We start from the raw sequence: 24,257 nt of genomic DNA on the forward strand, positions 1-24,257 counted from the left end.
ACAGCATTGCCAGTGCCAGCCTGGGTGACCAAGTGAGACCCTGTCTCAAAAACAAAAACAAAAACAAAAAAAGTTCCTGAGAGTTTCATACATTTTTTGGTGATATCAGCATGCAAATAAGATCCACATATCACAATTGGTTGATACGTCTTTTAAGTCTCTTTTCATCTATAGGTTCCTCCACTATTTCTTTTTTTTTCCCATTAGAATTGATTAGTAAAGATACTAGTTAATTTTTCCTATAGAGTTTCCCACTGTCTATGGATTTTGCTGATTGCATCCTAGTAATATATTTCAAGTAAACTGGTAGTTAGATCTAGGGGCTTGTTCAGATTCAGGTTTGATTTTTTAGCAAGACAGCTTCATAAGTGGTGCTGTGTACTTTCATCAGAGGTACATAATATCTGGTTGTCTCTCTTCTTATGATGCTGGCAGCCATTGATGACCATTGCCTAGTCCACTATTTCATTAGGAATTGTCAAATTGTTACCAGGGGGTCCTTGCTCCCAGAGCTCCCAAGATGGTGGCAAGCCTCGCGTTCTCTGACCTGGGGTTCTTGACCTCATGGATTCCAAGGAATGGAATCTTGGGCCATGCAGTGAGTGTTATAGCTCTATTAGAAGCCGTGGGTCATGGAAGAGAACCATGGAACCCAGTGACTAGTGTTCAGCTCCATCAGGATGAAACCCGGGCACTTAGCCGTGCAGGAACAATGGCAAGCCTTTAGCCTGATCGGGAGCGGCAATGGGCACCTTGCTGGATCAGGAGCACAGTGGACACCCTGCTGGATCCGGAGGGATGGAAGTCAGTGGCGGGTCTGCAACGGCGGCAAACACCAGTGGTGGATGGCGAGCGAAAGCTCAGCTGTAGCCATAAGAAACATGGACCAAAAGAGAGTGCAGTTGCAAGATTTAATAGAGTGAAGACAGAGCTCCCATACAAAGGCAGGGGGCCCAAAAAGGGTAGCCGTTGCAGGCTCAAATGCCTGGGTTTATATCCTGATCCTTGTCCCTCCCGCTGTGCTCTCAGGCAACAGATGATTGGCTATTTCTTTACCTCCTGTTTTTGCCTAATTAGCATTTTAGCGAGCTCTCTTTACTATCTGATTGGTCGGGTGTGAGCCAAGTTGCAAGCCCCGTGTTTAAAGGTGGATGCAGTCACATTCCCAGCTAGGCTTAGGGATTCTTAGTCGGCCTAGGAAATCCAGCTAGTCCTGTCTCTCAAAATGGCAATATTCTATCATTCTTTCTTCACCCATTAACTGGAATACTCCTATGAAAAGAAACTCCCCATCAACAAATTTTTTACTACCCCGTGGTACAATTGTATAGAAAAGACTTCAGTGACAACTTTGCTGATAGATCTCCATATGCACCTGTGAAAGGAAAATAAATCTTGGGACCCCAAAATCACTAAGCTAAAGGAAAAAGTCAAGCTGGGAACTGCTTAGGGCAAATCTGCCTGCCATTCTATTCAAAGTCACCCCTCTGCTCACTGAGAGAGATGCATATCTGATTGTCTCCTTTGGAGAGGCTAATGAGAAACTCACAAGAATGCAACCGTTTGTCTCTTATTTACCTATGACCTGGAAGCTCCCTCCCCACTTCAAGTTGTCCCGCCTTTCTGGACCAAACCACAAACTAATGTTCATCTTACATATGTTGATTGATGTCTCATGTCTCCCTAAATGTATAAAATCAAACTGTGCTCTGACTACCTTGTGCACATGTCATCAGGTCCTCCTGAGGCTGTGTCACGGGCACATGACCCCAACCTTGCCAAAGTAAACTTTCTAAATTATCTGAGACCTATCTCAGATATTCAGTGTTCAAATTTCGGTAACCACAAAGGGATTCTGAGTGGAGGTACCCCTGAACTTTGACAAATCTCATATTGGTGCTTGGTACCAGCATGAGCAACTTTGTGGCTCAAACCAATAGGACAATTTGCTGAGGTCTGGGAGCACCCCCTCCAGAGAATCCCTGATATCCCTAAATTTGGTAGAGATCTAAAGTTTATTTTGCTGTACAACTCCCTTTTTTTTGGAGTTTTACTTGCTTCTAACACGGAAGGCAAGATTCCCTGCTTCCATGACGATGGAAAGCAAGTACCTCCTTTATGGAGTTTGAGCTCACTCCCAACAAGAAAGACGAGTTTGAGTTTTTTTCCTGCTTCAAGGATAGTAGAAAGCAGTCTTCAACCTGAGACCCATTCCTAGGTAAGTTAACAACCAGCTGGTTTTAATTTCTCCTTACCATTAGAGTGCTCAGTGATCATATTGTCGGGGTTTTTTGTTGTTGTTTGTCCTGGTCTTTCTCCCATCAGATTTGACCAACTCCACCTGACTTGGTCAAATCCGAGTGAGAATTCCAAATTATGGATAACAAAGCCTCTCTAGTTTGGCAAAAATTCCTCGCAGCTGCAAAAGAGGAAAAAACAAAAAAAGCCATGCGCTTGGATTTTGTGTTTGCTTCCTGTCTTAAAAAACAAATGTTCTTTCGTTTACTTTTCTTCCACTCTATACCTCCTTCCCCCTATGCCATCTGCAGTACCAAAAAATCTAGAGAAGGCTTCCAATGACTTGAGCCCCTTTCAAGAAATCAGAACAAAGATACCACTCACCCCTTTTGGAGTGTTCTGTTTTCCTTGTGGAGTTCCAAGAGTCATGGACAGATTTTTCTTAGGTCTAAAGCTCTGTTTTCCTGTATTGCATGACCTGACCTTTTTGGCTTTGGGAGTACCAGAAATAACCTTGTACTATGAGAGAACTTGACCTCGGCATGTGTAATGGCAGACGAGAGCTACAAAATTAGGGGTGGCTGAGCACAGTTTACAGGAAGTGGTCTTCACTGTTGTTGTTGTTGTTTCCCTCCTAGGAAACTGTTATTTAAGGATCTTAATTCTAGTTCAGAGATGTATTCTAAAGGGCCTTCTCTATTGCTTTTTCTCCCAAAATTAATCTCGATTCAGCTTGTCTGTGCGCATTTGCGTGAGGAACTGAACTGTTGTTTTCATAGATAAATGAGGGACTGAGTTTTCTCAGCTCTGAAGAGAAAGGGCATTTTGATCCTCCCAGCCAAAAGGCACTCCAGGGTGTATTTCCTGGATAAGCCTTTTTTTTAAATTAATTTTTGTTGGGGATTTCCCTGTAGGGCCACTGAACGTTTCGAGGGGTCAATCCCCCAGACATTCCCACATGGCCCCCAGTCAAATCAGCTGTTATTTTTCTATTAAGATAAAAACCACTGTTTGGATCCAACACGGTTTTTTTTTGCAAGCTGGTGAATTTGTATTTACCTCATGGCTAAGGTTCTGAAGTAAAAGCGATAGGATCTTTGTGTGTGTGTGTGTGTGTGTGTGTGTGTGTGTGTGTGTGTGTGTGTGTGTGTGTGTGTATTTTAAAGGCCTTTATAATTTTTATAATTTTATGTTTAATTGGCAATTAAATCCGTTTTAATTTCCCTCTAGCACACCAAAGTATTTATCTCCATACCTTATGATGTATATCTTGCTATTTGATTTTCACCTGACTTGTTTCCTTTAATATGCAAATTTAAGCCTATTTAGCTGACAACTGCCTAGGGTAGTGAAACAGGTTATGAAGAATTTGAAAGCCCAAGATAGGGAAAAATAAAAGGTTTTTATGACTCTATAAGATGTACATTCTATCAGCATGCCTAATACGTCTATGTATTTATGTACCCAATGTTTCACTACTGAAAATATATGCAAGAGCTCTAATTAATTGGCTTAAGAAAATAAAAGCACTTGAATCAAATACTTTATCAGGAAAAAACAAAAGACTAGTCAAATGCTTTTTCAAGTTTACATAACTTAAGTAAAATCTTCAATAAATAAGCTAGCTTTAAAATTATTGGTAAAGTAATATTAAAAATGTCTTAAGAATTGCCAGCATACATTTTTGTTTGCATTTATTAATCAAGCAATTTCATACTTATCCCTGCCAAATACTACAAGGTGTCAAAATTTGGCATAGGGGTTACAAAACCATAAACCTAGCCCAAAACAGAATGATCTTTGTCATGTAATCTTTAATAAATAAGACATTGATATTAGTTTAATGAAAATAGCAACATCTTGAATTTAGTAAGATTGCCATAACTTCTAATCTTCTGGCTTTATGCAGTCCAGCCCACAGGCAGTAAGGTTTGTTTTCAGAAGGGACTGTTACCATCTTTGTCTCAAAGTCAAACTGTAAATTGAATTCCTCCCAAACTTAGTTTGGCCTGTGCTCAGGAATGAACAAGGACAGCTTGGAGGTTAGGAGCAAGATGGAGTCAGTTAGGTCAGATCTTTTCAACTGTCTCAGTTATAATTTTGCAATGGCGGTTCCATAACTTTAAATGATGACTGCCGCAGTTTTCATAAATAATCTAGGTAAACAATTGAAATAATTAGGTAGACGTAATGGGATGAATACTTGTAGACAACAAACTCATCATAATTTAGACTCTAAAGTTATATTAAATTAAATAATAGATATTTAAAATATTAAAAGTACAAAAATTAGCCAGGTGTGGTCTCGTGCACCTGTAATCCCAGCTACTTGGGAGGCCGAGGTGGGAGAATTGCTCGAACCTGGGAGGCAGAGGTTGCAGTAAGCCAAGATTGCATCACTGCACTCCAGCCCGGACGACAAAGCAAGACCCTATCTCAAAAAAAAAAAAAGAAAAGAGGATTTATTAAAAAAAAAACTTTCATATGATCAAGTTGTCTATTAATTAAAGGGAAATTATAATGGTCTTTCTAGAGATTGGGCTTGATGTAAGAAAAAACCACTTACACACTAAATAATTGGTTAGAATAATGAAATTTTCTTAAGGGATTGATTTACTCTTAATAAATTATGAGAGATTTTAATTTTTTAACCCAAAGTTCAATTTGTATTGCATCTTGCCATTTTTGGTTTTCTCTCCCCTTTTAAAGGGCAAGAAATAGTAATGCTCTCCAACTCATTTTTCAACTCATATAAGTTTTTCTCCTTGAGTTTTGTTTGTTGTGGCCTGATGCTAACAATGTTTTCTTAAAAGTCTAAAGGAAATTCTTTCTTCCAACATAATATTCTGTGCAGTGCCGAAGGTCTTTTCTTTTGCCTTTTGGTAACTGGCCTAACAGATTTTATGGTTTATTGAAACAATTCCTATGCTATTATTATTAAGTTTTGGTTTACTTAGGGAAAAAAATGAAATAAAAAAAATTTTTTCATTAAGGTTATTATATTCATGTATCTTTCTGTATGGGCTTGTAAAGTCATTGTGACATAGAGTTACAGGGCTTTGGCTCCTGGATCTAAAAAGGACACCAAGTCCTCCGAAATCTTAAACGCTGACAGCAATTAAAGCCTCATCTTCAGGCCCAGTAGAGATGCCAATCAAAATAAACTGCATTCCTGAGACACAGGCCAGAAATTAAAGCTATCTAACTCCTCAAGGCCAGGGACTATTGCAGAAGAGGTGGGCATGAGATTGTAAGGGCCAATGTTGAGAGATAAAATAAGTTCAGTTTCTCTATGAATTAATCATTAATGTCGAAGGCACACTGATGGAAGACCAGCATATGGGCCCCTGTGTCAGATTAATAAGTTTTTCTTGAAGCATTAACCAACTCCTTAATAAAGGTTATAAAGATTATAAAAGGCTTATTGAAGTTATATCTTATGCTCAAGATTAAAATTTTATAGATTGTTTATAAAATTTTGAAAAACAAATTTAATTGGCGTCATGCTGTTTTTATTAGGGCTTATTGTTTGGAAAATAAAGTCTCCTCTCTCAAAGAATGAAGGATTTTGTCTTTTTTTGAAATCCTTGAGTTACCAGTTTGGTGAAATGAATGGCTTATTTTACAATGATCTGTGATATCAAGTGTTTTAAACCTTTGATATTTGACACCTTCCAAAATCAAATTATAAATTATGTCTTTTTCTGATCTAATTAATCCTTTAAGATATTAGGTTCCCCAAAGTCCAAAAATGACATAATTTGGCCTATTTCATATAAACATCATACAGGAAACATTGTCAAGTGTGAAATGGTGTTTGGTTTTCTTTGAGCTGTATCTATATAAATATGTTATTGGTATGTGTTCCAAAATTATGGGAAAGTCCTATAATTCTGATATGACTTACTGTACATAATCAGTAATAATTATAATTGTTTTCTTAAATTATTGTGTGCCACAGAGGCAACAAATTTCCTTGTCCATTGTGTCTTTGACTATGGCTGCCCTAAAACTTTTTTCATCCATGGACAATTTTTGTCTTGTTTTCGTCCTCTTTAGAAGGTAGTTTTATAATCAGCTATAAAATTCTAACAGGTGCTCTTGAATACAAGTTTCTGAAAATTTTTGAGATTGTGACATCAGAATAAAAGAAAAATTTTCAGGACTCATGGAGAACTGAAATGTTCATGAATATCAAGCAGAACAGGAATTAACTACATGGACTGACATGCATAAGTACAATAAGAATCTGTTTTCATTTATAACAGGACACAATTTGAGAAACTGGTTATTTTACCAAAGCTTTGACTGGAATGGTGTGCTTTCCTTTAAGGAATCAAACTTGACTTATGGAGCCAATAAAAGTCCCATGGGAAAACTGGCCTTATACCTTGTCTACACAGTCCCTGTACAGGGTTCCTGACATGTGGTAAGTAAAGAATGCCACTTTCTGACAGGTGCAGGAGCCCTAAGTTTATCTTGGAACCTCAAGAGGGGAGGAATTCACCCAATTCATAGAGTGGTTTTTTTGTTTGTTTGTTTTTTGGCATAATCTCGATCTGTTGCCCAGGCTGGAGTACAGTGGTGTGATCTCAGCTCACTGCAACCTCTGCTTCCCAGGTCCAACTGATTCACCTGTCTCAGCTTCCCAAGTAGCTGGAATTACAGGCATGTGCCACAACACCCTGCTAAATTTTTTTGTATTTTGTAGAGACAGGATTTCACCATGTTGGCCAGGCTGGTCTCGAACTCCTGACCTCAAGTGATCCACCTGCATTGACCCCCCCCAAATTGCTGGGATTACAGGCATCAGCCACTGTGCCTGGCCCCAACTCATAGATATTTGATGGTACAAATCTATGGCTGGGCTTGGCTTTAAAAAAGTCTTATCTGAGATTCTTTCTATGGAACAAAGTTCCATCAATGCCAATTTAAAAGCCTATGTAAAAAATAATAATTCTTGCTGCACTGTATACAAATAATCAGGCCAAGTATAATAAAGCAAATCAGTCCTTCCATGATTTGTCTTTAGTAAAGATGGAAAACTGGAGAGAGAAAAATTATGTTTCAAAAACTATAATACACCTGTTGTTAGATTCCAGTCTTGCCTAATGTTTTTCAGTTGTTTTTTTTTTTTTTTTTTTTTTTTTTTAGATGGAGTCTTGCTCTGTTGCCCAGGCTGGAGTGCAGTGGTGCGATCTCGGCTCACTGCAAGCTCTGCCTCCTGGATTCACGCCATTCTCCTGCCTTAGCCTCCTGAGTACCTGGGACTACAGGCACCCACCACCACGCCCAGCTAATTTTTTGTATTTTTAGTAGAGACGGGGTTTCACCGTGTTAGACAGGATGGTCTCGATCTCCTGACCTCATGATCTGCCCGCCTCGGCTTCCCAAAATGCTGGGATTACAGGCATGAGCCACCGCGCCCGGCCTTTTCAGTTTTTATTATTTTCTACAGTCTGGACCAAATTCTATTTTTTCTTGGTTACAAGTCTTCAAGATAATGTTTTCAATTTTTTTCCTTCTTTTTTCCCCCATTTTTCCTAATTAGGAGTCATTGAAAACTAAGCGTGCTTTCATAAAGCCCTGTGAACTGAAGTCAGACAACTTAAACTTTAGAAGAAAATAACAGCAACCCATTTACATACATAAACCACTTTCAAACCTGCCTACTGATTATGGACTTCAGAGTAATATGGCTTATACCAATTTTCCAGGATTGTTCTTTTGTTTGTTGTTGTTGTTTGTTTGTTTTTTGTTTTTTTGAGACGGAGTTTCACTCTGCCGCCCAGACTGGAGTGCAGTGGCGCAATCTCAGCTCACTGCTGCCTCTGCTCCTGGGTTCAAGCAATTCTCCTGCCTCAGCCTCCTGAGTAACTAGGACTACTAGTTACTAGTTAGTTGTCGTAATTACTAATGCCCGGCTAATTTTTTGTGTTTTTAATAGAGACAGGGTTTCACCATGTTGTCCAGGCTGGTGTTGAACTCCTGACCTCAGATGATCTGCCCGCCTCGGCCTCCCAAAGTGCTGGTATTACAGGCGTGAGCTACCACACCCAGCCTGTTGTTGTTTTTCTCCCTATTTTCACTTCCTAGGATGTGAAACTTCACAACCTGCTAAAAATGAACTTTCCTAATAATTCAGGACCTAACCATCTAGAAATAAACCAACCGAGCCATAAGAGATCAGACGAAACCTGAGACCAGAGACTCATTTTCTTCTGAAATGCTTTCTCCAAAAGATTTTTAAAAAGAAAAGGGGGGGAATGTGAAAGGAAATAAATCTTGGGACCCCAAAATCACTAAGCTAAAGGGAGAAGTCAAGCTGGGAACTGCTTAGGGCAAACCTACCTCCCATTCTATTCAAAGTCACCCTTCTGCTCACCGAGATGAATGCATATCTGATTCCCTCCTTTGGAGAGGCTCATCAGAAACTCAAAAGAATGCAACCATTTGTCTCTTATCTACCTAGGATCTGGAAGCCCCCTCACCACTTCAAGTTGTCCCACTTTTTCTTCGAGTTGTTGTCCCCGCTTTCTGGACCAAACCAATGTTCATCCTACATATGATGATTGATGTCTCATGCCTCCCTAAAATGTATAAAACCAAACTGCACTCTGACCACCTTGGGCACATGTCATCAGGACCTCCTGAGGCTGTGTCATGGGTACATGTCCTCAACCTTGGCAAAATAAAATTTCTAAATTAACCGAGACCTGTCTCAGATATTTGGGGTTCACATAACTCAGGCTTTAGCTTCCAGTGTTTAAAACCACACCTTGAGTCTTCCTTTCCAAAGCATGCCTTCCATGCTAGTGTGTCTGGATCCAGCCTCAATAACAGCAAAATTTGAGAGAAAAGCTTAAAAATATATAAAATATCCATGTAGGAGGCCTAACATCCATTCATATGAAATTCCAGAAAGAAAGCAAAAACAAGAGAGGGAAAGAGGTAATTTTAAAAACAGAAAAAAATGTCTCATAACTGAAGAAAGATCTCAGTTTGAAAGATCACTGAGTGGGAATTAGGATGAAAGAAAAAGCCTCACACCTAAACACAGCCTCATGAAACTCTAAAATATCAAGAATAAAGGGATGATACTTAAGGCTTCTAGAAAAAGGGAAAAAATGATGTACAAAGAAATGGAAATCTTCATTAGCAGCAATAGATGTAAACAAAGCAAAGCAAAACAAACAAAATAATTTTCACTCGTGTCCGTGCGAAGAGACCACCAAACAGGCTTTGTGTGAGCAACATGGCTGTTGATTTCACCTGGGCGCAGGCGGGCTGAGTCCGAAAAGAGAGTCAGGAAAGGGAGAAAGGGAGATAGGGGTGGGGCCGTTTTATAGGATTTGGGAAGGTAATGGAAAATTACAGTCAAAGGGGGTTGTTCTCTGGTGGGCAGGGGCGGGGGTCACAAGGTGCTTAGTGGGGGAGTTTCTGAGCCAGGAGAAGGAAATTCACAGGGTTAATCACTCAGTTAAGATGGGGCAGGAACAAATCACAATGGTGGAATGTCATCAGTTAAGGCGGGGCAGGGCCTTTTCACTTCTTTTGTGATTCTTCAGTTACTTCAGGCCATCTGGGCGTATATGTGCAAGTCACAGGGGATGCGATGGCTTGGCTTGGGCTCAGAGGCCTGACATTCCTGCCTTCTTATATTAATAATAAAAATAAAACAAAATAGTGTTGAAGTGTTGGGGCGGTGAAAACTTTTGGGGCTTGGTATGGAGAGAGAATGGGCGATGTTTCTCAGGGCTGCTTCAAGCGGGATTAGGGGCGGCGTGGGAACCTAGAGTGGGAGAGATTAAGCTGAAGGGAGGTCCTGTGGTAAGGGGTGATATTGTGGGGATGTTAGAAGAAACATTTGTCGTATAGAATGATTGGTGATGGCCTGGATACAGTTTTAGATGAATTGAGAAACTAAATGGAATAAGAGAAGGAGAAAAACAGGTATAAAAGGTCTAAGAATTGGGAGGACCTAGGACATCTGATTAGAGAGTGCCTAAGGAGATTCAGCATAGTCCCGCCAGCAAAGATTATTTATTTACTTCAAGAGTTTAGAGTGGCAGTTTGGGGATAGCACCAGGAGATATCAGCTGTGATGGCTTGGAAAAGCAGTGTAAACCGGCAGTGTAAACAAGAGCAGGGCATGTATGAGTAGTTGAGAACGGTGAATAGGAGTATGACTAGACAGAAGATAGTAGGGATGACAAGTTTTTTGGGGGCACAGTCTAAGTTGGTCTGGTGTCTGGAATGAGACTGGGGCCTAATAAAAAGGAGCGTCTATACAGGAGCTTAAATGGGCTGTACCTTGTAGCATTCTGAGGACAGGCCTGAATTCTGAGAAGCTAAAATGGTAAAAGTATTGTCCAGTCCTTTTTAAGTTGGTGGCTGAGCTTGGTGAGGTGTGTTTTTAAAAGACCTTTAGTCCGTTCTACTTTTCTTGAAGACAGAGGACCGTAAGGGATATAAAGGTTTCACTGAATACTAAGAGCCTGAAAAACTGCTTGGCTGATTTGACTAATAAAGGCTCAGCTGTTATCAGACTGTATTGAGGTGGGAAGGCTAAACTGAGGAATTATGTCTGACAGAAGGGAAGAAATGACTATGGTGGCCTTCTCAGACCCTGTAGGAAAGGCCTTTACTTATTCAGTGAAAGTGTCTATTTAGACTAAGAGGTATTTTAGTTTCCTGACTCGGGACATGTTGAGTAAAGCTAATTTGCCAGTCCTGGGTGGGGGCAAATCCTGGAGCTTGATGTGTAGGGAAGGGAGGGGGCCTGAATAATCCCTGAGGAGTAGTAGAATAGCACATGGAACACTGAGAAGTTATTTCCTTGAGGATAGATTTCCACGATGGAAAGGAAATGAGAGGTTCTGAGAGGCGGGCTAGTGGCTTGTACTATATAGCATAGCCTGCCTTTGCTGGTGTGTGGCGATTAGGCCTGATGGAACTGCCATCAATAAATCAAGCGTGATCAGGGTGAGGAACAGGAAAGAAGGAAATATGGGGAAATGGGGTGAATATCAGGTGGATCAGAGAGATACAGTCATGGGGGTCAGGTGTGGTATCAGGAATAATGTGGGAGGCCAGATTGAAGTCCAGGCCAGGAACAATGGTAATTGTGGGACTTAAAGAGTGAGTACAGCTGAAGGAGCCGGGGAGCAGAAAGTATATGCGTCAGGTATGAGGAAGAAAATAGATTTTGGAAGTTATGAGACATGTAGAGAGTGAGGTGAGCATAGTTTGTGATTTTTAGGGCCTCTAACAGTATTAAAGCAGCGGCAGCCGCTACATGCAGACATGCGGGCTAGGCTAAAACAGTAAGGTCAAGTTGTTTGGACAGAAAGGCTACAGGGTGTGGTCCTGGCTCCTGTGTAAGAATTCTGACTGCACTAACCATGCCTAGGAAGGAAAGGAGTTGTTCTTTTGTAAGGGATTGAGGTTTGGGAGATTAATCGGACACGATCAGCAGGGAGAGCACGTGTGTTTTTATGAGAATTATGCCGAGATAGGTAACAGATGAGGATGAAATTTGGGCTTGATTGAAGTAATGGGGGCTGTCTGTGAAGCCTTGCGGCAGTACAGCCCAGGTAATTTGCTGAGCCTAATGGGTGTCAGGGTCAGTCTAAGTGAAGGCAAAGAGAGGCTGGGATGAAGGGTGCAAAGGAATAGTAAAGAAAGCATGTCTGAGATCCAGAACAGAATAATGGGTAGTAGAGGAAGGTATTGAGGATAGGAGAGTATATGGGTTTGGCACCAAGGGGTGGATAGGCAAAACAATTTGGTTGATAAGGCGCAGATTCTGAACTAACTTGTAAGGCTTGTCTGGTTTTAGGAGAGGTAAAATGGGGGAATTGTAAGGAGAGTTTATAGGCTTTAAAAGGCCATGCTGTAGCAGACGAGTGATAACAGGCTTTAATCCTTTCAAAGCATGCTGTGGGATGGGATATTGGCATTGATCGGGGTAAGAGTGATTAGGTTTTAATGAGATGTTAAGGGGTGCATGATCGGTCGCCAAGGAAGGAGTAGAGGTATCTTATACTTGTGGGTTAAGGTGGGGGATACAAGAGGAGGACGCAAAGGAGGCTTTGGATTGGGAAGAAGGGCAGCAATGAGATGTAGCTGTAATCCAGGAATAGTCAGGGAAGCAGATAATTTAAAGTGTCTCGGCCTAATAAGGGAACTGGGCAGGTGGGGATAACTAAAAGGAGTGCTTAAAAGAGTATTGTCTAAGTTGGCACCAGAGTTGGGGAGTTTTAAGAGGTTTAGAAGCCTGGCGGTGAATACCTAACAACAGTTATGGAGGCAAGGGAAACAGGCCCTTGAAAAGAAGGTAATGTGGAGTGAGTAGCATCCATATTGATTAAGGGGACGGACTTACCTTCCACTGTGAGAGTTACTCGAAGCTCGGCGTCTGTGATGGTCTACAGGGCTTTTGAGGTGATCGGGCAGCGTCAGTCTTCAGCTGCTAAGCCGAGAAGGAGTCAGTCAGAGAGCCTTGGGCCAGAGTTCCAGGGGCTCTGGGAGTGGCTGCCAGGTGAGTTGAACAGTCCGATTTCCAGTGGGGTCCCGCACAGATGGGACATGGCTTAGGAGGAATCCTGGGCTGCAGGCATTCCTTGGCTTGGTGGTCAGATTTCTGGCACTTGTAGCAAGCTCCTGGGGGAGGAGTTTCTGGAGGAACGCCTGGCTGCTGCGGTTCAGGCGTTTAGAAGTTCTTGTGTGCTGGAGATGTGGCTGGGGTTTGTCTCACAGTGGAGGCAAGGAATTGCAACTTTTTTTTTATTATTGTACACCTTGAAGGTGAGGTTAATTAAGTCCTCTTGTGGGGTTTGAGGGCCAGATTCCAATTTTTGGAGTTTTATTTAATGTCGGGAGCAGATTGGGTAATAAAATGTATATTGAGAATAAGATGGCCTTTTGACCTTTTAGGGTCTAGGGCTGTAAAGGGTCTCAGGGTTGCTGCCGAACGAGCCATGAACTGGGCTGGGTTTTTATATTTGATGAAAAAGAGCCTAAACGCTTCTGATTTGGGATAAAGAAAAAGGAGCATTAACCTTGACTATGCCTTTGGCTCCAGCCACCTTTTTAAGAGTAAATTGCTGGGCAGGTGGGGGAGGCCTAGTCACAGAACGAAACTGTAAGCCGGACCAGGTGTGAGGAGGGGAGATGATAAAAAGATTACAGGGTGGAGGAGCGGAGGCTGAGGAAGAATTGGAACCTAGCTTGGCCTGGCGAGGAGGGGAGAGGTCAGATGGGTCTGTAGAAAAGGAAGATTAGAGAGACTCAGCGACGCTTGGGGTTGGGACTGAGGGGACAGGTGGGAGGGAAAGAAGGAAGATTTGGGACGAGTTGCACTGGGCACAGAGACTAGGAAGGGACTGATGTGTAAAAGAATGCCTGGATGTCAGGCACCTCAGACCATTTGCCCATCTTACAATAAGAATTATTTAGATCTTGTAGGATGGAAAAATTGAAAGTGCCATTTTCCGGCTATTTGGAACTACTCGAGTTTGTATTGGGGTCAAGCGACATTGCAGAAGAAAATAAGATGCTTAGATTTTAGGTCAGGTGAGAGTTGAAGAGGTTTTAAGTTCTTAAGAATATAGGCTAAGGGAGAAGAAGGAGGAATGGAAGGTGGAAGGTTGCCCATAGTGAAGGAGGCAAACCCAGAGAAAAGAGAGCATAGAGACACGGAGGGAAGGGGTTCAGGGGTTCTTACCCTCCAGAAAAGCGGGAAGGGTGGTTGGGGCATGGAAATAAGGGATTGGGGCACAGAGATAAGAGGTTGGGGTGCAGAAATAAGGGATTGGGGCACAGAGATAAGAGGTTGGGGTGTGGAAATAAGGGATTGGGGGTTCTTGCCCCCTAGAAAAGCGGGACTTGCTGCTAAGGGTGAAGGAGAAGGGGTTGAGGGGTACTTGCCCCTCCCCCAGAAAAGCAGAGAAGGGGTAGAGACACAGAGAGAAGGGGTTGGGGTACTTGCCCCTTCCCCAGAAAAGCAGGACTTGCCACTAAGGGTGAAGGACCAAGGCAGGCATCCCTGTGTGGTCTGACACCTTTGAAACATGGGTGAATAATCAGAGAGGCGTCCCTGCAATGATTAAACACCTAGGGAAGGCTGCCTTCCCAGTCCATGACCGGCGCCGGAGTTTTGGGTCCACGGATAAAACGTGTCTCCTTTGTCTCTACCAGAAAATGAAAGGAATTGAAATTAAGAGAAGGGAGAGATTGAAGGGTGGCACCAAGATTGAAAGGAGAAAGAGGTTGAGGGATAGTGAGGGAAGCTGGAGAAGAGAGTAAAAAGAGGCCGCTTACCAGATTTGAAATTGGTGAGATGTTTCTTGGGCTGGTCGGTCTGAGGACCTGAGGTCGTAGGTGGATCTTTCTCATGGAGAAAAGAGCAGGAGAACAGGGGATTGATCTCCCAAGGGAGGTCCCCTGATCCGAGTCACGGCACCAAATTTCACTCGAGTCTGTGTGAAGAGACCACCAAATAGGCTTTGTGTGAGCAACATGGCTGTTTATTTCACCTGGGTGCAGGCAGGCTGAGTCCGAAAAGAGAGTCAGCAAAGGGAGATAGGGGTGGGGCCGTTTTACAGGATTTGGGAAGGTAATGGAAAATTAGTCAAAGGGGGTTGTTCTCTGGTGGGCAGGGGCGGGGGTCACAAGGTGCTCAGTGGGGGAGCTTCTGAGCCAGGAGAAGGAAATTCACAGGGTTAATCACTCAGTTAAGATGGGGCAGGAACAAATCACAATGGTGGAATGTCATCAGTTAAAGCGGGGCAGGGCCTTTTCACTTCTTTTGTGATTCTTCAGTTACTTCAGGCCATCTGGGCGTATACGTGCAAGTCACAGGGGATGCGATGGCTTGGCTTGGGCTCAGAGGCCTGACAATAATACCTGTGAATTTTGAGGGAAAATGACCTTGAACCTAGAATTCTATATTAGTCAAATATAAGAATAAAAATAAAAAGACATGTTTAGGCATGAGAGAACTCAGAAATTTTACCCCTAGCCCTCTTCTCTGAAAAAAATTACTTGAGGATGTATTCTAACAATAAAAAAAAAAAGAGATCCAAGAAAGAGAAAGACCTAGGATGTAAGAAACAGAGATGATAACCCAGGAATGCAATGAAAAAAAAAATCCTAAAATGGTAGCTGTGAAGGAGTGAGGCATAGAAAGAGTGGGTATATGTTAGAGCATTTAACAAGTCGTCTATGTGAACAATTGGAAGGTATCAGTAATATGGTGACAAAGGCACCTATATCTTCTGCCAAAAAATAATTAGAAATTTTAAGAAAGGAAAACTTTCCCAAAAAGTCATGATCCATATATCAAACAATCTAAAATGTGGCATAACTCAGCAATTGGAGTGTAAGAAAAGAAAAACCATTTGAACTGGAAATTTGTACTATTTCCCTTCAAGTGGCCTAGGTATAGGGATACAGGATTACATCTCCTCCAGTGATCAAATCACACATTCTGTTTTCTGCAACTAATAACATTTACAAAATTATAATTTTGTAAGTGATGTTTATTGGCTTTCAGAATCAACCTATAGAAAAAGTATGAAAGACAAATATAGTTATAGAATGGAATGTAAATATGAAAATGGTTTAAACTTTAACAATGTTAAAGTACTCAAATAACCAGGAGGAGTGGGGAGTAATTTCTTCATTTGACACAGTAAGCCTCAAGAAGTAAGTGTAAATGGAAGCTTAAGTACATTATGCAAAGTGTTAATGGTAAACAATTGAGGAGCTAACAAAAAAGAGGAAAGTCAATACTGCTTAAAGGAAATAAATCAAGATTTCAAAGTAAAAGCATCTTATTAAGAATTATGGAAATAACCAACAGAAAAAAAAATCCCAGAAATGGTCAAAAGAAGCTCAAAGGTATCAAATGATACTCTGATTAGTAAGACTGAGGGTAAGAGCAGGAAGAATCTTTGTACTTTTAATTTTGTAACCTCCCACATAGCTATTCCATTCAGTCATTCATTCCTTCAGCAAATACTTATAGAACATTATTATTGTACCAGGCATGATTCGAAGCACAGGGATACAGGATAGACAAGGCGGAGAATATTCCTGCCCTCAAGGAACTCATATTCTAGTGGGCAAAGGTATACAATAGACAAGTAAATTGTTTCCCCAAAAAGATAGGTACAAATATTAAGTGCAATGAAAATTATAAAACAAAATAAAGTGATAATAACTTGAGTGATCAGGGAAGGCCTCTCTGAAGAAGTAAAATTTGAGCTAAAATACTTTTTTATATGAGAAACGTATAGGATTTCTTTTCTTTTTTTTTTTTTTGAGACAGAGTTTCACTCTTGTTGCCCAGGCTACAGTGCAATGGCACGGTCTTCGCTCACCACAACCTCCGCCTCCTGGGTTCAAGCGATTCTCCTGCCTCAGCCTCCCGAGTAGCTGGGATTACAGGTATGCACCACCACACCTGGCTGATTTTTTTTGTATTTTTAGTAGAGACGGGGTTTCATAATCCCTTTCTTCCAAGGAGGCTCCCTGGCCCCTATGCAAATTTACATACTTCCTCCCCAGCAACCAGCTCAACAAACCAAGGAATTTGCGGAGAGGCAGTCTTTGTCAAACCACAAAAGATCTTGTTACACCCTTAGCCCAAAGCAATAATTACCTACCTGCCTCAGATTTACCCAGAGAGCATTTCCAAGTGATTGTTCCCAGCACAAGGAAGACATGCTGCAAAGTGACTTGTTGGAAAATGTTCAAGTACCACTTTCTTTCCCTATGATTCCCTAACCCGTGTCCAGCAGCACCAGGAAGAGATCCAGGCTCATCTCAAGGTGGGGTCTCCAGAGAAGCATAGTGAAGGGAGACCCACTACATAGGCAGAACTGCCTGTTCATACCTGACAGCAAAGCCCTATATGTAGGTCCTAAGTCTGTGCTACGATGCTATTGTAGCTCGTTACCAATGCTCTTTTGAAACACACAGCATGAAGCACCTTGACTTACTCAACATCCTGTACTACACTGAGGCATGTTTTTGGCCACAGGAAAACAAAAAAGGCTAAAGAAGCTCAACAGAGCTACCCCATCCTCCCTCAATCACCAAGCATTCCTAGGAGACGTTCCTTACATTCCTCACCAACTCTCTGCCAACTGTGGTCATAGCATAATAATCATTGAAGTCAACACCTTCATGAGAACAACCCACTTTCTCTCTTCAGCTGGACCACTTTCTGCCCCAGTTATCTCTACCTTATTCTTCAGAGACATAATTGTTCCACCTCTAAGACAGCCTACCCTGTAACATCTGACTGGGGAGCCCAATTTGTGCAAAGTTTCTATAGAGCACACTTCTGATCCACCATGTCCAAATCCACTTGTCCATTGCCCACAACAATCAAACTGAACAACAGCCAGATAGATTTTGGAGGAGACTTCTGGTTGTCATTCACCTTCAACAAATAAGATAACTGGGACACACACCTCCCAAATGCTAAATTTGCTTACCATACTCTGCACCCATCTATTAGAGGACCCTTTTTCATAGTCATTGCAGCTTTCTTTCTCATACCAACCAGCTGCATCACCATCTTTTGCTTTCGGTCAACAGATGTCAATTATCTATTATGCACCAGACACTGTACTGGATGTGAGGGTCATGGCTGCCCATAGGCCATGAGGTGACTGCGTGCAAATTTGAAAAAGGCTCTCCAGATGCACACCTCTGCACCAGGTTGCATGAATTGGTGAGTACAGCGAAGGCTGGATTTCAATCCTTACTGATCCTCTCAACCAGATTCCCTTGTACAGTGAACAATTGTACCCAGCAGGCATATGGGGATTGAACAATAAGAGTCTTGTGGCTAACTGGAAGCATTCTAGATTCCCCCAGGAAGGCCAAAGGGACATCTGCATTTTCCAAATATTTCATCAAGTTCTCCTACTACAGTGTCTGCTCCACCTGCTGCTATTACATACCCAAGGACCACTCCCAGGGCCCAGTTACATATCTGGAGATTATGAACCCTGTCACCTTTGCCTCCAGCTTCCCCTTTTTCATGTATACCCACCTCATCTTTCACCATTCCTCACTAGACTCAGCTGGCCTCAACTCCACCCAGCACCTCACTGTGTACTTTATACCCATAGGATCCAATGTTGCACAATAAGAAACCCAAAAGACACAATACGGGAAATTTTGGAGCAAGACACTACCTCCAGTACTGATCTTACCTCACCCCATTTAGCAGGGAGGAAGTGAAAGGCAGGAGGGGACATGTCCAATCCTGCTCTTTCTTAGGCTGATCAAGTCACCCCCAAATAGATGGCCAACCTCTACTGAGAGGGGCCTTCACATCCCTCTGCCTTGGCCAAACACTGTGTTCTTTGTACCTCATTCCCAGATTGAGCCAGCTGAAGCAAAACCCAGTGAAGACCACCTTTACCGTTTTTTAATAGAATACATAAAACCCCAGTCTACAGCATCTGCCTTCCCCTTTTCCACCACCATCGAGGAACACTGGCAGATAGGTAACTTACTAAGAGGCCTCAATGAAGTGGTCTGTCCCAGAGAAAGGGCAGGTTTGACCCAAGACAAATTCCAGATCCTCTGCTTAGAGCCGCAGGAAGAAATGCTGAAACCAAACCAAGCCAAACAACAGAAACCCCAGCAGTCTTTCATCTGCTCTAAATCTAGATGATTTCAAAAGTGTGTCCATCATGAAAAGATCCCTAGGGGTTTGCTTGTACTAGAAGAGCATAAACATTTACATTGCCTTTTTTCTGCTGACAGAACAGTGAGAGGGAAGGGCCTCATCTGGCAACTTAAAGCAATACCATTCAATCATCCCAAAGCCAGTTCTTTGTGTATGTAAGTAGCTGCCCTTGCAGGAGGCTTAAGGTGCTGGGAGCTCAGGGTCCTGAGTCAAATGATCTGGCTTCAAATCTCACCTCTACCACTTACAGTTTGAACTATAAGGAAGCTGTATGGTGTTACAGAAAGTACACAGGCTCTGGACACTTGGCTGCCAAGTGTAAATCCCTGCTGCCCCACTTACCAGCTGTGTGGCCTTTATGATATACAGTGCCTCAGTTTCCTCATCTCTGAGATGATAGTTATACTCCCTGTAACATCACGGGACTGTTATGAGGCTTACATGGGACCATCCACAACCTCACCTACAGTAAATGTTTACTAAATCTTAGTGATTATTATTCCATTCTGAGTCTATTTCTCATTCCTTGAAAATGAGAAGAGAAAGGGGCACTGCTCTGCATAATCATGTGAGGCACCATCGCCCCTGTGAGCTGGGAAAGTTGGGAGAAGGTTTCTTTTCTTCCATTTGGATTTAGACGGCATTCTCTCTGAGAATCTGTTGTTTAGCCTGAAGAGATAGACGTGCGTATGTGTTTCATCCAACCATCACCCACGGGATATCAGGAAAAACAAAAAAGCATTTATCTCTCTGTGACCCCTACTGATGGGGACCTTTGGAAAGCGATGACACCTGGAATGCCAGAGCCTACCCTAACCTGTCCATTTGGAAGGCTCAGAGCCATATGCCAGGCTGAATAACTAAGATGTGGGCCAGTGGGCTTCTAGGGAAGATAGAGGTGGGACCTGGGGCAAGACCAAGCCCTGTGAGTAGGTAGTGGGTGGAGCTTCATTTGATGGGTTGAAAGAAGAGGAAAAAAGTGAAGCTGAATTCAAGGAAGAAGGGCATGAGGGTTCTCTCTGTGATGGGCCTCTCTGGTGATTTTCTCTTGGTCTACAGACATGGACATGGGCAGTAGATTATTTTTTAAAAGTCCCCATACTTGAAATTCCTTTCAGTTATTCACAGGCCTTCTGCAAAATCTGTACAACCCTGGTGGTGATGTTGGGAAGTATAAATGAGAGGACAGTATAGGAATGTATGGTGTCCCCTCATTCACTCACCAGTGTCTGTTTATCCTTCTTAGAAGGGGACTTGAGTGCTGGATTTCTGGAGGAGATCAGTGGAAAATTGAGTGTTGGTCCATGGAACAGCAGAGAAGAGTAGCCGCCAGATGAATGGCTCAGGGAGGGATGTGGGCCTAACCCTGTACTTTGTGATATGTATACTAGAAGAAAATGACTGGTAAAGGAGGAACAGCGAGATGACATTGGAGCTATTGTGTATCTTTGGGTGTGTTACTTAACATCCTGGTGCCTCAGTTTCCTCATCTGAAAAATGAGGATAATGATAGTACCTAGCACATAAGACTGTTATGAGGATAAAATGAGTTAACATTTGCAAAATATTTCAGTGACCAGCACACGTTAACCATATTAGAAGTGTTTGTTAAATAAAATTAAAGTTCAACTGACAGAAGTGTGGAGTGACTGATAAATGATATATTGAAAATGCAGAGCTGGGCAGTAAAAATTTATCTTCCTCTTCAGGGGAAAGACACAAGTATTCTGGCCACGAGAATGTGTACTCCAATATGGAGCAGGGGGCCAGGGCTCCACTGCTTTCCATGTTAAGCTTATTTTCCCACAGAGGACCAGACTCCACCATGGTCTAATGCACATTTGTTTCCCGTCCAGCCAGAATACAAAGCAGAAAGGTGATTCCAACCCCAAGTGAAGAAGAATTTCCTTCTTGAAATACCCTTGCACATATGCACAAACATACATCAACAAGGGTGTTCACTGCAGCATTTCTTGTAATAGTGAAAAACAGGAGCCAATAGAAATTACAACTAACAAGGACTGGCCGACTGATAAAGATTAAACCAAAAAAAAAAAAAGAGGTGCATGTATGTGGATGTGCACTGATAAGTAGCCAAAATATACTGTTTCATGAAGAAAATAGAAGCAGAATAGTATGAATAAATGTCATCTTGTTACCAGTGGAGGATATCCAGGTTCTTGGCATTTTGAACAAAGAATTGGACAAAATGCATAAACAAAGCAAGGAAAGAATGAAGCAACAAAAGCAGAGATTTATTGAAAACGGAAGTACACTCCACAGTGTGGGAGCAGGCTGAGTAGAGGCTCAAGAGCCCTGGATACAGAATCTTCTGGGGTCCAAGTACCCCCTAGAGTTTCCCATTGGACACTTTGTGCTCACCTCATGTAAATAAAGTGGTGGCCCGCAATCAGTGTGATTCCAATCAGAGGCTGAAGTGAAGTTACAAAGTTACACCCAATTAGTATTGGTTGCAGCAACCAATTAGGGGCTGAAGTGAAGTTGCAAAGTTGCCCTCCTATGCAAAAAGCAACCAATCAGAGGTACTTTCAATTTCCCATCTGTGGTGCAGAAAAGGTGGGGGTTTGCAAAGGCAGTAGCCTCTGGTCCTTTTGTTACTTAGGCGTGGAAAGTTAGGGTTTTCCTTTCAATTTAGTTCTAGGAAGTCAGCATGAAACAGCTTTAGGTTCCCTGCCTCCAGACGTTATTCTCCTGCCTCAATCTCATCTGTGGGGGGTGTGTGTGTGTGTGTGTCTGTGTGTGTGTGTGTATCCCTTTCAGACACACACACACACACACACACACACACACACACACACACGGTGTTTATCCACCCAGCAAAAACTCCTGGGTGGATAAACAAGAAAATGGTAACAGTGGTTACCCCTGCGGAATGGAGCTGCGGATGAGGGTAAAGGGAAAGGAGATTTCACTTGAATTTTGGGAGTTTATTTTTATTTTGGCTTATTTTCACAATAAAACTAGTTTTTTGTGTTTTTTTTTTCTGATTATATAAGCAATATATGTTTATTCTTTTTTTCATATTTTAACTTTTGATTTGGAAATAATTTCAGACTTATAAAAAACTTGCAAAAACAGTACAAAGAATTCAAATATCTGCCCCCTACCAGCTTCCCAAATGTTAACATCTTATATAAATCAAACCCAGGAAATTAACATCAATATGATACTATTGACTAATCTAGAGGCTTTATGCAGAAGTTGTCAATTGGCTCACTGCTGCTCTTTTTCTGGTCTAAGATCCAATCCAGGATCCCACATTGTATTTACTTGTTATATTTCCTCGGTCTCCTGCAGTCTGGTACAGCTTCTCGGTCTGTCTTTGTTTCTCATGACCTGGACACTTTAGAAAAGTAACGCCTAGTTATTATGCAGAATGTCTCTCAATTTAGGTTTGTCTCATGTTTTCTTATGACTAAGTACAGGTTATGCATTTGGGAAAAGAAAATCACAGAATTAATGCAAGGCCCTTTTCGCTGCATCCTATTAAGAGACACACAATGTATATGTCTAATTACTGGTTATGTTAACTTTGACCACTTGGTTAAGGGGTGTCTGTTGGGTTGCTCCACTGTAAATTTACTCCTTTTCTTTTCCAAATTAGTTTATAGCTTGTGGAGAGATAGCTTGAGCCTATATGAATATCCTGTTTCTCATCATACTTTGCCCACTAACCCTTTGATGATTCTTGCCTAACACAATTATTACTGTGATATTTGTCAAATGGTGATTTTCTATTTCCGTCATTCCTTCTACATTTATTAATTGGCATTCTACTGTGAGAAAGTGCTTTCCCTTCTCCCTATGTATGAATTCAATTATTTATTTATGTAACTATGGACTTGCCAACAGAATGTATTGCCGTACTTTTTAATTTTTGCTGATCTGATAGGGGGAAATGATATCCTGGTGTTGCTTTAATTGCATTTACCTAATTATATGTAAGGTTACAAGGTTAAGGAGCTATTTACTGATGATAGATAATTGTCTGTTCACGTATTTCTCCATTTTCCTATTCAGTTTTGGGGACCTATGCCCATCAATTTTGAAGCATTATTTGTAGAGTCACAATTTTAGCCCCTTTATCTGTGATGCATATTGCACATATTTGCTTCCAGTTTCTCAGTTGTTTTTTGGTGTTGATTATGATGAGGCTTTTTGCCATGGAATTTTAAAATGTAGTCAAGTTTATCCATTTTTTTCTTTTATTGCTTCTAGATTTTGAGTCATGATTAAAGAGCCTTTCCCTACACCAAGGGTAAAAGGGAATTTGTTCACATTTTCTTTTTTTTTTTTTTTCTTTTTTTGAGACAGGATCTCACTCTGGCTCGAGTGCAGTGGCGTGATCTCAGTTCACTGCAACCTCCACCCCCCAGGCTCAAATTGAGAGGTGACAGCGTGCTGGCAGTGCTCATAGCCCTCACTTGCTTTCGGCGCCTCCTCTGCCTGGGCTCCCACTTTGGTGGCACTTGAGGAGCCCTTCGGCCTGCCGCTGCACTGTGGGAGCCCCTTTCTGGGCTGGCCAAGGCTGGAGCCAACTCCCTCAGCTTGCAGGGAGGTGTGGAGGGGGAGGCGCGAGCAGGAACCGGGGCTGCGTGAGGCGCTTGCGGGCCAGCTGGAGTTCCGGGTGGGCGTGGGCTTGGCGGGCCCTGCACTCGGAGCATCTGGCCAGCCCTGCTGGCTCCGGGCAATGAGGGACTTAGGACCCGGGCCAGTGGCTGTGGAGGGTGTACTGAGTCCCCCACCAGTGCCAGCCGACCGGCGCTGTGCTCGATTTCTCACCGAGCCTTAGCTGCCTTCCCGCGGGGCAGGGCTTGGGACCTGCAGCCCGCCATGCCTGAGCCTCCCACCCACTCCAAGGGCTCCTGTGTGGCCCGAGCCTCCCCGACAAGCACCACCCCCTGCTCCATGGCGCCCAGTCCCATCGACCACCCAAGGGCTGAGGAATGCGAGCGCACGGCGTGGGACTGGCAGGCAGCTCCACCTGCAGCCCTGGTGCGGGATCCACTAGGTGAAGCCAGCTGGGCTCCTGAGTCTGGTGGGGACGTGGAAAGTCTTTATATCTAGCTCAGGGATTGTAAACACACCAATCAGCACCCTGTGTCTAGCTCAAGGTTTGTGAGTGCACCAATCGACACTCTGTATCTAGCTGCTCTGGTGGGGCCTTGGAGAACCTTTATGTCTAGCTCAGGGATTGTAAATACACCAGTCAGCACCCTGTGTTTAGCTCAAGGTTTGTGAGTGCACCAATCGACACTCTGTAGCTAGCTGCTCTGGTGGG

The 24,257-nt window shown here is 42.6% G+C and overlaps 1 long non-coding RNA gene across 1 annotated transcript in view, besides 1 other annotated feature; it reads left to right on the forward strand.

Moving 5' to 3' along the window:
* Positions 1–24,257, forward strand: part of LINC03098 (long intergenic non-protein coding RNA 3098) — a 44,082-nt gene that overhangs the window by 16,803 nt on the left and 3,022 nt on the right. Inside the window, exons 2-3 of the long non-coding RNA NR_110396.1 lie at positions 16,574–16,692; positions 17,851–17,986. This is a non-coding gene — a long non-coding RNA (long intergenic non-protein coding RNA 3098). The remainder of the gene's footprint in view (positions 1–16,573; positions 16,693–17,850; positions 17,987–24,257) is intronic.
* Positions 10,767–11,268: an enhancer, noted in NCBI's record as "H3K27ac hESC enhancer chrX:118453061-118453562 (GRCh37/hg19 assembly coordinates)". NCBI's record gives its function as "activates a minimal SCP1, AML or CMV promoter by ChIP-STARR-seq in naive H9 embryonic stem cells {active_cell/tissue: H9 hESC(naive)}" and the evidence as "EXISTENCE:reporter gene assay evidence [ECO:0000049][PMID:30033119]".

Source organism: Homo sapiens, chromosome X (assembly GCF_000001405.40).
Source record: "Homo sapiens chromosome X, GRCh38.p14 Primary Assembly".
NCBI classification, from domain to species: domain Eukaryota; kingdom Metazoa; phylum Chordata; class Mammalia; order Primates; family Hominidae; genus Homo; species Homo sapiens.